This window comes from Homo sapiens, chromosome 3 (genome assembly GCF_000001405.40).
Source record: "Homo sapiens chromosome 3, GRCh38.p14 Primary Assembly".
NCBI classification, from domain to species: domain Eukaryota; kingdom Metazoa; phylum Chordata; class Mammalia; order Primates; family Hominidae; genus Homo; species Homo sapiens.
In genome coordinates this window covers 32235406-32247671 of record NC_000003.12, presented here as the reverse complement: position 1 = coordinate 32247671, position 12266 = coordinate 32235406, and the positions used below count along the sequence as shown (strand labels likewise).

The 12266-nt window shown below is 46.4% G+C and overlaps 1 protein-coding gene and 1 pseudogene across 3 annotated transcripts in view, besides 1 other annotated feature; one reads left to right on the top strand and one right to left on the bottom strand.

Moving 5' to 3' along the window:
- Positions 1–9480, bottom strand: part of CMTM8 (CKLF like MARVEL transmembrane domain containing 8) — a 132130-nt gene extending 122650 nt beyond the window's left edge. For 2 of the 3 annotated variants that reach the window (NM_178868.5, NM_001320308.2), the window contains exon 1: positions 8553–8992. In NM_178868.5, the coding sequence (NP_849199.2) occupies positions 8553–8699 (147 nt within the window). In that variant the 5' untranslated portion in view covers positions 8700–8992. Of the gene's footprint in view, positions 1–8552; positions 8993–9402 lie in introns of those variants that run through there. The other variant, XM_011533416.4, reaches the window with a different exon arrangement.
- On the top strand, positions 3654–3825 carry SMIM11P2 (SMIM11 pseudogene 2; annotated as a pseudogene).
- Positions 8979–9188: a silencer, noted in NCBI's record as "silent region_14167". NCBI's record gives its function as "represses an Ori minimal core promoter by ATAC-STARR-seq in GM12878 lymphoblastoid cells {active_cell/tissue: GM12878}" and the evidence as "EXISTENCE:reporter gene assay evidence [ECO:0000049][PMID:35858748]".
- Positions 9481–12266: the final 2786 nt, after the last annotated feature.

The following is a 12266-nucleotide window of genomic DNA, read 5'->3' as shown; positions in this document are numbered from 1 at the left end:
CTGGCCAACATGGTGAAACCTCATCTCTACTAAAAATACAAAAATTAGCTGGGCGTGGTGGTGCACGCCTGTAATCTCAGCACTTGGGGAGGTCGAGGTGGGTGGATCACTTGAGGTCAGGAGTTTGAGACCAGCCTAGCCAACATGGTGAAACTCCATATCTGCTAAAAAGTCAGAAAAAAAAAGAAAAAATTAGCCAGGTGTGGTGGCGCACGCCTGTAATCCCAGCTACTCAGGACACTGATGCAGGTGAACTGCTTGAACCTGGGAGGCGGAAGTTGCAGTGAGCTGAGATTGTGCCACCGCCCTCCAGCCTGGGCGAAAGAGTGAGACTCCATCTCAGGGGAAAAAAAATTCTAAAATAAGACAGTGGTGATAATTATACAACTCTGTGAATATCCTAAAAACCCCTGAGTTGTAGACTTTAAAAAGGTCAATTTTATATGTAATTATATCTCAATAAAGCTATTTTTCAAAAACACAAATGCCAAAACTCATAGAACTCTACACTAAACAATGTGGATTTACTGTATATCTTAATAAACTTATCTTTTTTTAATTTTTATTTTTTGGGACATAGTCTCACTCTGTCACGCAGGTTAGAGTGCAGCGGTGCAATCTCGGCTCACTGCAACCTCTGCCTCCCAGGTTCAAGCGATTCTCCTGCCTCAGTCTCCAGAGTAGCTGGGATTACAGGTGCCTGCCACTACGCCCAGCTGATTTTTGTATTTTTAGTAGAGATGAGTTTTGTTATGTTGGCCAGGCTGCTCTTGAACTCCTGACCTCAGGTGATCCTCCTGCCTCAGCCTCCCAAAGTGCTGGGATTACAGGCATGAGCCACTATGCCCAGCCAATAAACTTATCTTTAAAGAAGATTCATATACCCTCTTATCAATTCTAAGTAATCATCCTCAGAAAACACTAAAGAACATCCAGAAAGATTTAGCTTAAAAGATGTTATGGAACTGGTAAAAGGAGGAAATAAACATACATTGAACAGTAGGAGCCTGGATATTTATGGAATACTATGTGGCCATTATGAATGCCATAAGAAATTAATCATTGATGAAAACAGGTAATATATCAGGTCTCAGCAGGAAAGCAGGCACATTCAGATTGGGTAATCTGAGTAGGGTTTAATAAGGGTGTTGTTTATAAAGCAGGGTACAGGAAAACCACAAGCTATAGGGCAGTACTTGGCAATCAGAAGCAGGGGTGAGCGAATAGTTATCAAACTCAGGGAAAAAAGCAGTGTGCCGAGAGCTGCTAGGTAGCCTGTCTTCTGTGGAGGGACGCAGACAACCAGCAGAGACCCAGCAGGGAGGAACCCTGGGGAATGAATGTCCAGAACCTGCTCTCCTCTCACCCAACAGCCTCATGCTGATGACACCAGTAGATGCGGCCAGTGGGACATCAGATGGCAGGGGGGCCCTTAATAAGTCCATGCAGGATCAGGGTGGAGAGGGAATGTGAAGGACAAATGGAAGGTATCCAGCACAGATGGTCACAGCAGGAAACAAAAAGAGTAGTTTACAAGAGAGTATGCTTTAAAAAACAATTACAGATAATATATAACTTAAATTCTGGAACAACTGTGAGGCCAAGGTGGGTGGATCACCTGAGGCCAGGAGTTCGAGGCCAGCCTAGCTAACTTCGTGAAACCCTGTCTCTACTAAAAATACAAAAATTGGCCAGGCACAGTGGTGTGCATACCTGTAAACCCAGTTACTCAGGAGGCTGAGGCATGAGCATTGCTTGAACCTGAGAGTCAGAGGTTGCAGTGAGCTAAGGTTGCAGTGAGCTAAGATCACGCCACTGCACTCCAGCCTGGGGGACAGAACAAGACTCTATCTCAAAGTAATAATAATAATAAATAAAAGTTTTTTCTACAAATGTCGGGTATTGCTTTTATGAAATGGAAACTATGTTCACTATTTTTTAAAGGAACTCAACAGGGCAACAGAATAATTAAAATTCCAACTCTCAGTAAACCCTATTTATCCTTCCCCAACTAAGTTTGCTCAAGACAGTAAATAAATAAAAGGTGACCTAACATTATTACATGGATACTATAATTCATTTCGAAGTCATCAATAACAGGAAGGGCACAATTTACTAAGATTCTTACAAATCACTTTCATTCTTCAAGTACTTGTAATAGTTATGAGATCACAGCATCCTACAATTCACAGGTCAAGTACTGGATTGCTTCTAGCTTGTTATAAAACTTTAAAAGGAAGGAAACTACCATGATTTGGTTTCCACATGATGTTACATTGGCACAGCCTTGAGTGTTTTAATAGGTACAGCTACTACCACTCACCCCCAAAACCAGAGCAAGCGATTTTGACAAGTGATTTGAAAAAACACTGCTTTGTTCTCTGCCTAATTTCATTTCCCCAGGTTCAGGCAGGAAGTCAGGTTCTTAGTAATTCTTTGTCTCAGTATTTTGTTTTCACAAGGCAGAAAGTAGCATTTTTCTGGGGGTAGGTATATCTTAGTCTCAGGAATGGGATTGCAAAGGTTTGAAACAGACACACTCCTGTATCCCCAGATAAAGAATCAATGGGTCCATATTTCATGACATCCAAGAAACCATCAATTATAAGCAGTATCCTGATTCAGATATTAAAACATGAACAAAAACTACCCATTATAATCAATAAAACACAGTACGTTATTTAAGGTGATCATTAACATTTGGAATTTTTTTAAAGTATTTTTAGTTTAAAAGGCTCATACTACTGATGACAGTTTCAACCAGTAGAACTTTGGGGAAGATAACTTCAGACTATGTCACAAAACCCTTAGATTTATATACCCTTTAGCCCAACAATTCTACCTCAAGGAACTTTTCCTCAAGAAAAGCACTGGACAAATGTGGAAAGACAGACAAAGAAAAAGATTGCTACAGCACTGGTTATGCTAGTAAACCCTAGAAACACATTAGTTTTAAAATAGAAAACTGGGGAAACCAGGTATGGTACTTCTTTACGACAGAAAACGGTAATAATTCAAAAGGTCCAAGACCCTGAAAAATGTTCACGGCATAGTAAAAGCAAACAGCATATCACAGATCAGTTAGAAAAAAATCATGAGAAAATATATGCAAAGAAAAAAGTATAAAAGGAGTTTTAGAAAGAACTGAGAAAATGGAAAGAGAAAATTCGAATTAAACAAAAAATCTTCTGGCCGCAACGGCTCATGCCTGCAATCCCAGTGTTTTTGGAGGCCTAAGGAGGAGAACTGCTTGAGGCCAGGAGCTCAAGGCTAGCCTAGGCAACACAGTGAGACCCCCGTTTCTAAACAAAAAATTAGCTGAGAATTGGCAGTGCATGTCTGTAATCCCAGTTCCTCAGGAGACTGTGGCGGGAGGACTGTTCGAGCCCAGGAGTTCCAGGTTGCAGTGAGCTATGATTGTGCCACTGCACTCTCCAGCCTGGGTGACACAGTGAGACTCTGTCTCAAAAAAACTCCTTAGGTAAGATCTTGGTTGGTGTGCAGGGCAAGTGCAGGTGGTTCTGCAGCCAGAAACTATCAAACCTTCTAGCTCCCTGGACCTGACCTTCCACAGCTCCCTCTCCTCACGTACTTGTCAGGGCGGCGCAGGGGGCAGCTATGTTGATCAGGAGTGAATTCAAAGTTGGTCTACCATGAACTGGAAGATGCTTGAATACTCATCCCTGCTGCTATAATATCTTGGCAGAGAAACCATTAATTCTCTGTCTGGCATTTGCTGGAGTTAAAATATACCAAAGGAAAAGGCTGGAAGCAAAACAGCAAAACTGGAAGCTGAAGAGAGGCATCAATGAGAGAAGGAGATAACTGAAGAGTAATCCAGGGTATTTTGCTAAGCATTTCATGCACAGCTGTGTTGTTTGGGTCCTGACAACTCTATGAGATACTTTCGAATTGAAAGAATGGCTCACACTGTACATGGTGAAGAGCAGAACCAGAAACTGAACACAGGTCAAATGCATTCAACCACAGTGAGCTGTACTGCCTTCCTGAATTCACAATGTAAAAGTCAGTCTGAGTGGACTGCAGCTGAGAAGAGAAGACAATTATCCAAAAATGTGTCCGAGGATACACTCCCAACCTATACTTTTAAAAGAATGTGATTTTTTTTTTTTTTTTTTTTGAGACAGGGTCTCACAATGTTACCCAGGTTGGAATGCAGTGGCGCAATCCCAGCTCACTGCAACCTCGACCTCCTGGGGTCAAATGATCCTTCTGCCTCAGCCTCCCGAGTAGCTGAGACTACAGATGCCCAGCACCATGCTGGGCTAATTTTTGTATTTTCAGTAGAGATGGGTTTTCGCCATGTTGGCTGGGCTGGTCTCAAACTCCTGGGCTCAGGCAATCTGCTGGCCTCAGCCTCCCAAAGTGCTGGGACTGCAGGTGTGAACCACCACGCCTGACCAACAATGTATAAATGTTTATTTTTATAAACTTTTAAGAGAGCTATCATTTTATTTTGGTTAGGTGAGGTGGCTCACACCTGTAATCCCAGCACTTTGGGAGGCTGAGACAGGTGGATCACTTGAGGTCAGGAATTCGAGACCAGCCCAGCCAACATGGCGAAACCCTGTCTCTATGAAAAATACAAAAATTAGGTAGGCTTGGTGGTGCACGCCTATAATCCCAGCTACTTGGGAGGCTAAGGCACCAGAATTGCCTGAACCCAGGAGGCAGAGGTTGCAGTGAGCTGGGATTGCACTACTGCAATTCCAGCCTGAGTGACATTATGAGACCCACTGCACTCCAGCCTGGGCAACTGAACCAGACTCTGTCTCAAAAAAAAAAAAAAATTGTATTTTGTTTACTAAAATACCTTTGTAAAAATGGGGAGGAGTCTCCTGAAACTTACGTGAATTTTCCTTATTTGAGAGAACACACCAGGTGCCCAGTACACTGGGAGAAAACACACTCATATGAAGGCACATCATTGTGATATTTTAGATCTCTGGGAAAAAGAAGGTTCAACACATTTCCAGAAGTCAGGGGGTAGAGGGAGATAAATAATTGAAATAAAAATTTTTACAGCCAGGTGCAGTGGCCCATGCCTATAATCCCAGAACTTTGGGAGGCCGAGGTGGGCAGATCACTTGAGTTCAGGAGTTCGAGACCAGCCTGAGCAACATGGCGAAACCCTGTCTCTACAAAAAATACAAAAAAATCATCCACCAGGCATGGTGGCCCATGCCTGTGGTCACAGCTGGCTTGGGAGGCTGAGGTGGGAGGATCACTTGAGCCCAGGAGGGGTAGGTTGCACTGTGATCATACCACTACACTCCAGCCTGATGACAGAGTAAGACACTGTCTCAAACAAAACAAAACAAAATTAAATCAGAATAGCTAAAGGACAATAAAAGAATACATTTTAAATTCTGAAGAAAAACATTTTCAGTCTAACACTCTCTACCTAGTTGAACTAGGAATTGTGTATAGAATCAAGCTATTCTGAAAGGTGCAAATTTCCATTTCCACATGCATGCTTTCTTAGAAAACTACAAGAGGCTGTGTGTCCCCCCAGTGGGAGCAAAGCAAGACAGAGGACACTGGACATGGGAAGCAGAGGATCCAACCCAGGAAAGAAAGGAAGAGAATCTTCAGAGTGATGGTGCAGGAGAGCCCAGTCGGCCAGCTGTGTGCAGGCCACCAGGCCAGAGGCTCCCAGAGAGGCCAGTCATGAAGACGATTCTGACAGAATACCTGATGTCTCTCAGCTTCTTGATAGGAGACTTAAACAACTAGGGTTAAATTAGTGACTAAATATCTGGAGAAATTATGAAATGAGAAAAGAGAATTACTAACACCAGGGCAAACAAGAAATTGGGCAGGAAAGGAAAAGCATTCATAGTCTACGCACTGGGTCAGTTGTAAGTGGTATTTACAGTGTCATAGGTCAACACTGGCTGCTGATCTAACCCAAATCACCTGAAGACTATACAGATGCCCCTTGACTTAACAATGAGGTTACATCCTGATAAACCCATCCTAAGTGGAAAGTATCCGAAGTCAAAAATGCATTTAATACCCCTAGCCTACCAAACATCATAGCTAAGCCTAGCCTATCTTAAACGTGCTCAGAACACTTAGGTTAGCCTACAGCTGGCAGAATCACCCAGCAGCACAGCATGCTGGAGAGGATGGGTGGTTTGCGCTGGTGATGGCATGGGTGGCTGAGAGCTGACCAGCATCATGAAAAAATATCTACCGAATATCATTAGCCTGGGAAAAGACCAAAATTCAAAATTCGAAGTATGATTTCTACTGAATGCATACTGCTTTTACAACATCTGTAAAGCTGAAAATTCCTAAGTTGAACCATCAGAAGTGTTTGGACCTATATTGGGAGACAGGAAGAGGGTATGTATAATTGGAGGCAGGGAAGAGGGCATCCCAGCTAAAGCCTCATCTTTCAGAGTAGAAAGGCAATGGATAATGTCTATGACTGGGTGGGTGAGGGAACACCAATAAACAGCATTATAAACACGTTGTTTAGAGCTCAAAGAGATGAAGACACTGGGAGAAACTTATATTTCTGCCTGTAGGACCGAATCTTTAAAATATGTGCATAAGGTGGGGCACAGTGGTTCATGCCTACAATCCCAGCACCTTAGGAGGCCAAGGCAGGAGGATTGCTTGAGCCTAGGAGTTTCAGAGCAGCCTGGGCAACACAGAGAGACCCCGTCCCTAGAAAAAAATTAAAAATTATCCAAGTGTGTTGGTGCATGCCTGTGGTCTCAGCTACTTGGGAGGCTGAGATGGGAAGATCGCTTGAGCCCAAGAGGTCAAGGCGGCAGTGAACCATGATGGTGCCACCGCACCTCAGCCTGGGAGACAGAGCAAAACCCTGTCTCAAAACAAAACAAAACAAACAAAAAAGGTGCATAATTAGCTCTGTCAAAAATAAAAACTATAGTAGTAATAAGGGTGATTTTGCTTACATGTTTTCCCATCTTTTTCAAAACGCTTAATGAAATCTAAAAGGATACATGCTAACATGTCAACAGTGATTATTTCTAGTAATGGGATTGTGGGCCACTTACATTTCTTTCACTTTTGTATTTCCTGAAAAAGCGCAGTACACAGAGCATATCGATAATAAATCAGAAAAAAACCCAAAGGCGTTATACTTCATGCCTGGCCCAAATCCACCCCAAGGTAGAAGGCCCATCTCTGTCATTTTAGCTTTTGTTTGCGCTGCTGAAGCAGAGGAGCCTGCCAACTCCTTCATTTGCACAGCAAATATTTGTTGAACTCCTAAAAGCTAGGCCCTGCAAGGCGATTCCAATACCTTCAGCTTTTGAGTCTCCTGAAGTCCTCAATACTCGCTGAGGGAACCAGCTGGGAGAGGAGCTAAGCCAACACTTCTCATACCTTATGTGCATTATGACCACCAGGGGCTTCATAGAGCAGGTCCGGGTGGTATCTGAGACTGGGGGAGCAAGCAAGCTACTTGAGGTACACAAGATTTACTTCAGGTTTCTCAAAGGAACCGCCCAGGTCTTCAGTCACTTCTGCACCATGATGGTGTGCCCATTCTCTAACTCCCACATAGGCTCATTTTCAATTCCCAAATATTTAACAAAAGTCTGTGAGAGATGACAGAGGGGCACTGCTGGGGCAGCTGGAAGCTGTCTCAACTGCTTGCAGTTATGAGCACGGCCCTGCAGAAAGGCAGGCCTGGGTTTGAATCCATGCTTCACCATCCACCGGTGTGATTTACGTCCCCTCTCTAGGCCTTCACAGGGGAGGGTGGTCGTTGGATTACACGAGGGTATGAGGACATCTAAAGGGCTTGACAAGATCCTGGTACACGAAGAAGACTCAAACAGTGACCACCTCTAACTGCTGACAGGACTCCAGTCCTTTCTCAGCTATGAAGGACTGGCTGGGACTTCTGGGAAGATCACGTGAGTTTTCAGCCTCTATGCCCTCCAATGAAGAGAAGAACGCCCATGCCCTGCCTCCTTCCCAGGAATGTTCTGAGCCTAAACCAGGATGTGCACAGCACCATGCAAAAGACCTCTTTGGTCCTAAAATAGGTTATGGCACTCAGATTTTATTCAGTAAAATTTTCCTGACTCACCTCAATGTTACTACCAGGGAGATAATTAGGAAAAGAAAGAAGCCCTTTCCTCTTCCCCTGATCTTAGGAAGCTTTATTTTCAGGGAGGAGGCCATCCACGTGGAGATCAGGTGAGAAAGGCACCAGGTGTCTCTGACACTCAACACAAACTCAATAGCCACTAAGCCAAGCTTCCTGCTCCCAGGATCTGCCGCCGCCACCGAGAGGACCCAACAAGCTGAATTTCTCCCACAGCAAGACATCCTGAGGATCACAACCCTTTCTTCCCAGGACAGCCCGAGTTTCCTGGACCTTGTTTAGAGTCTTTCACTTTGGGAAGAAGGCGAGGCTGAGCAAAAACGGTTCCCTAAAGCCCGCGGGAAGATCTGAGCAGGCTCCATCCCGAGAAGCACGGCGGAAGCACGCGCCGGGGTCCAGCTGAGCCCCCCGCCACCCCCGGCCCGTCGGCACTCACGATCTCGGCCACGATGAGGAAGCCGGGCAGGGTGCGGAGGAACTCCCGGTCGTAGGCGAAGCTGCTGCTGCTGGTGGAGAAGTTCTCTGCGAAGGAGCTGGCGGTGGTGGTGACTGTGTGCGAGCGGGCGCGCTGCGGCTCCTCCATCGTCGAGCCACTGCCGGGCTGGCGCGTCCCCAGGGACCCCGGCGGGTCTGGGGCTGGACGCGCGGCCCTGCGCCCTGGGGACACAGGCGCGGGGGAGGGGAGCGCGGCCCGCGCGGGGCAGGAGGTGCGAGGGGGGCGCCCGCCGGGGGCTGTCCAGGCGCGGCGGGTGTCCCTCTAGTGCGCGGTGCCCCTAGCGCCTCGGTGCGCGGGCTCCCGAGCTGCGCTGGGGCCCTAGAGGAAGAGGAGAGCGAGCGAGGGGAGGCTGCCGGGCAGCCGGGGAAGGCGGTGGAGGCCCGGAGGAGGGGAGGGGGCGGGGAGAGGGGCGGGCGGGAGGCGGGCAGGAGAGGGACCGCCCCGCGGAGGCGCCGCGGACGCCCGCCCTCTTCACCTGTTGCCCGACTCCCAGCGGCGGAGAAGGCGCCGCGTCGCACCCAGGGTGGCTGGGTTGGCAGCCTGGCGGGCGGCGCGGAGGAGAGGGCGCAGGGGTCCTTCTGGCCGTCTTCCGCTCCCCCTCCCGGCCTTTACTTCTGTCAGGCCCCGCCTGGCCCAGGCCCGCAGCCTGTTTCCTTCCACCTGGGCGGGTCGGGGGCTGCGGGCATTGGGGCCCCTTAAGGAAACCCAGGCCTCCAGGGACTCCGCCGCTCCAGGACTCGGCGCGGAGGGAATGACTGAGCGACGACCGAGGCAGGGGGTGATGTGGTACCTCGAATGCTGTGGAAATGGCAGGAATGATGACCCGGCCGGACCTTAGACCCGAGATCGATGAGAGGCCGCCAGCACTGCCCGGGAGACGGCCCGCTCTTCTCCCCCTCCTGCTGCGGCCGCCGCCAGAGCCCGGTGTTATTTCCTGCCCCTCCTGTCGGGAACAATTTGAGGAACCAACTTAATCGCTTGGCTTTGAGGGCGCGACGCTTCCAGGCGCTCTCCGCGGCTCTGTCCCGCGGACCGGTGGAGCCTGGGTGACGGCGCCTGGGCCGGAGGAGGGGAGATGTTTGGGGTCCCTGGCCAGGATGAATCAGCGTAACCGTCCCGTCACCCTCGGGGAAAAAAAATGTTTCAAGAAGGCTTGAAGGGTGTGATTTGTGTAATGTTAACTTTAGGACAAATGAGCTGTGCTTTCCTGGCATGGGAAGGGGATGGGGGTCCTCATTTAGTGAGGCAGTTTGTAACAGGGTCAGGGAAGAACTGAGCTCGGCTGCGTGCGTTTATCGGCTGTATGACCCAGAGCGAGTGGCTCTAGTTTTTGGACCTCAGTAATGCCATCTCTAAAATGCAGGCTTTGACAGATGGACCTCTGAACAAAAAGATTATCTTCCGCTTGGTCCCTCCTTCTATTTTGTGAAAGGGTAGCAAGAAACATTTTATCTGGAAGCCACCAAAAGAAAAGGAAATAATCTTTGGCTATAAATCGAGGGTATCTTTGATTCACAGTGAAGGCATTTCTGCTGATCTGTTCCAAGACAGGTTAAAAACGAGATCAGAAGGGACATTTTCTTCACAGTGTCTTATCAAGTGTGCTGAGAAGAAAGCAAAAACGACAATCTAATAAAATAAAACAAGGAATTAGTGTCTTTTAAGTCTAGGGCCTAGCCAGGAAGACCTCCAGGAGTAAAAGTTAAGGCTTCAAAAGCATGGCAAAGATGTAGATTTGGAGAGATTCCATCCATGTGCATTTGGTAAGCACCTTGGGCTGGTGGGTAAATTCTTAAAATTTAAAATATAGCACTTCTCCCTGGAGCAGTAGTTCTCAAAGTGGTCCTTGGACCAACAGCAGGTAAGTTCCCTGGGAACTTATCAAAAATGCAAGGTCTCAAGCCCCACCCCCAGACCCTCTGAATCAGAAACTCTGAGGGTGGAGCCAGGAAGCTGTGTTTGAACAAGCCCTCCAAAAGACACTGATGCATGCTGAAGTTAGCTGCTGCTTTAGAGAAACTGTTAATGAGTTTGGGGAAATAAGAGATACATACATGAAATGGCTGGAGGAGACTCAAGCATTATGCATGACATTTAGTGAACGTAAAAGACGGAGTCTAGACAACTTTATTTCCATAATATTAACAAAGGACAATCCTCTCTTAAAATTCCTGGGGTCAGATGAATTTCTAAATTCAGATTTTGTTTTTCAATTTAGAAAGGTAAAATGTGCATGTACCATATATTACATAATACCTTTGGTAAGGTCTGGGGTGACACTCTAATATACTAATTTTCTGCAAGGGAAATCATGAATGACATAAGTGTATGCTTGGATTATCTACTGCAATGTAATAAATGTTCACAAAATATTAGTGGCTTAAAATCACCATTTTATTTGCTCAGAAATCTGTTGTGTCAGGAATTTGGGAAGGGCTTGGCTGGCAGGTTCTTCTGCTTTGCATGGTGTGATTGGAGTCATTTACTCAGCTGCTTTCAGTTGGTGACTTGGCAGGGCCAGAAAGTCCAAAAAGTCTTCATTCCCATTTGAGCATTTCAGTGCCCTTTCAACTTGGGCTTTCTAACAGTATGATAAGCTCATGGTGGTTGGACTTCTACCTGGCAGCTGGCTACTGGAAGAGACTTTCTAAGAGGGGCAAATGCAGAAGCAGATCTCTTAAGGCCCAGCCCTGAAGGTTACACGGACTCATTTCCACCACATTCTATTGGTCTAAGCCAATGAATGACAAGGCCAGCCAGAGTCACGCAGAGGGGAAACAGATACCACCTGTGGATGGGAGGAGCAGTAAAGAATTGTGGCTGTCTTTTAATCTAGGTGAGATAAAGACAAAGACAATAAATAGCTTCACATCTGTTTAGGTTATGTTTTTCTACCAAATATGTTTTCTGCAAGCTCAGGAAAAAAAATTTTGGTTTCAGCTTTTGGGATTTCAGAATCACAGAGAAAAAATTATACACTGGTTGCTTGAAAACTAGCTGCCCCTTTCCAACTGCTGCCTACATTTGGGTGATTATCTTCCACCTGAAACTCTACTGATTGGTGCCCATTCTTCCAATAACACCCTTATCCAGTCCACCTTCCGTCTTCCTGCAAGAATTATTGTCCTGAAACCCCAGACTAAGGTACCACTGTGCACAGCATAAGGGCCTATATAAGATATTCAGCCTATCTCTTCTGATCCCTTTTCTCAACCACTTTAGAATGCATACTGTTTCAGCCCCAGATACACTTTGTATATATCACTGTAAGTGTGACCACTTTATGCCCATAGCCAGCTTTTCTCTTAGCCTACAAAGCCTCCCACCTTCACACACAGCTCACAATCTGCAGTCTTCATGGCCCATTTTAAATGCCACCTTTTCTGTGGTTTCTTTGGATTTCCATGAGCTGTTGTTATTTTCTTTTTTGTTTTAGAATTCATTGACTTTATGCACTTCTTTTACAACTTCTCAAGATATATGAATTACCCTTCCTTGTCTGCCCCCTGCTATAGGAGGTATTGAACAAATGCTGAGGCCCAAACTTTTTTTTTTTTTTTTGGAGACAGGGTCTTGTTCTGTCACCCAGGCTGGAGTGCAGTGGCATAGTCACAGCTCACTGCAGCCTTGACCTCCTAGGCTTAAGCAATCCTC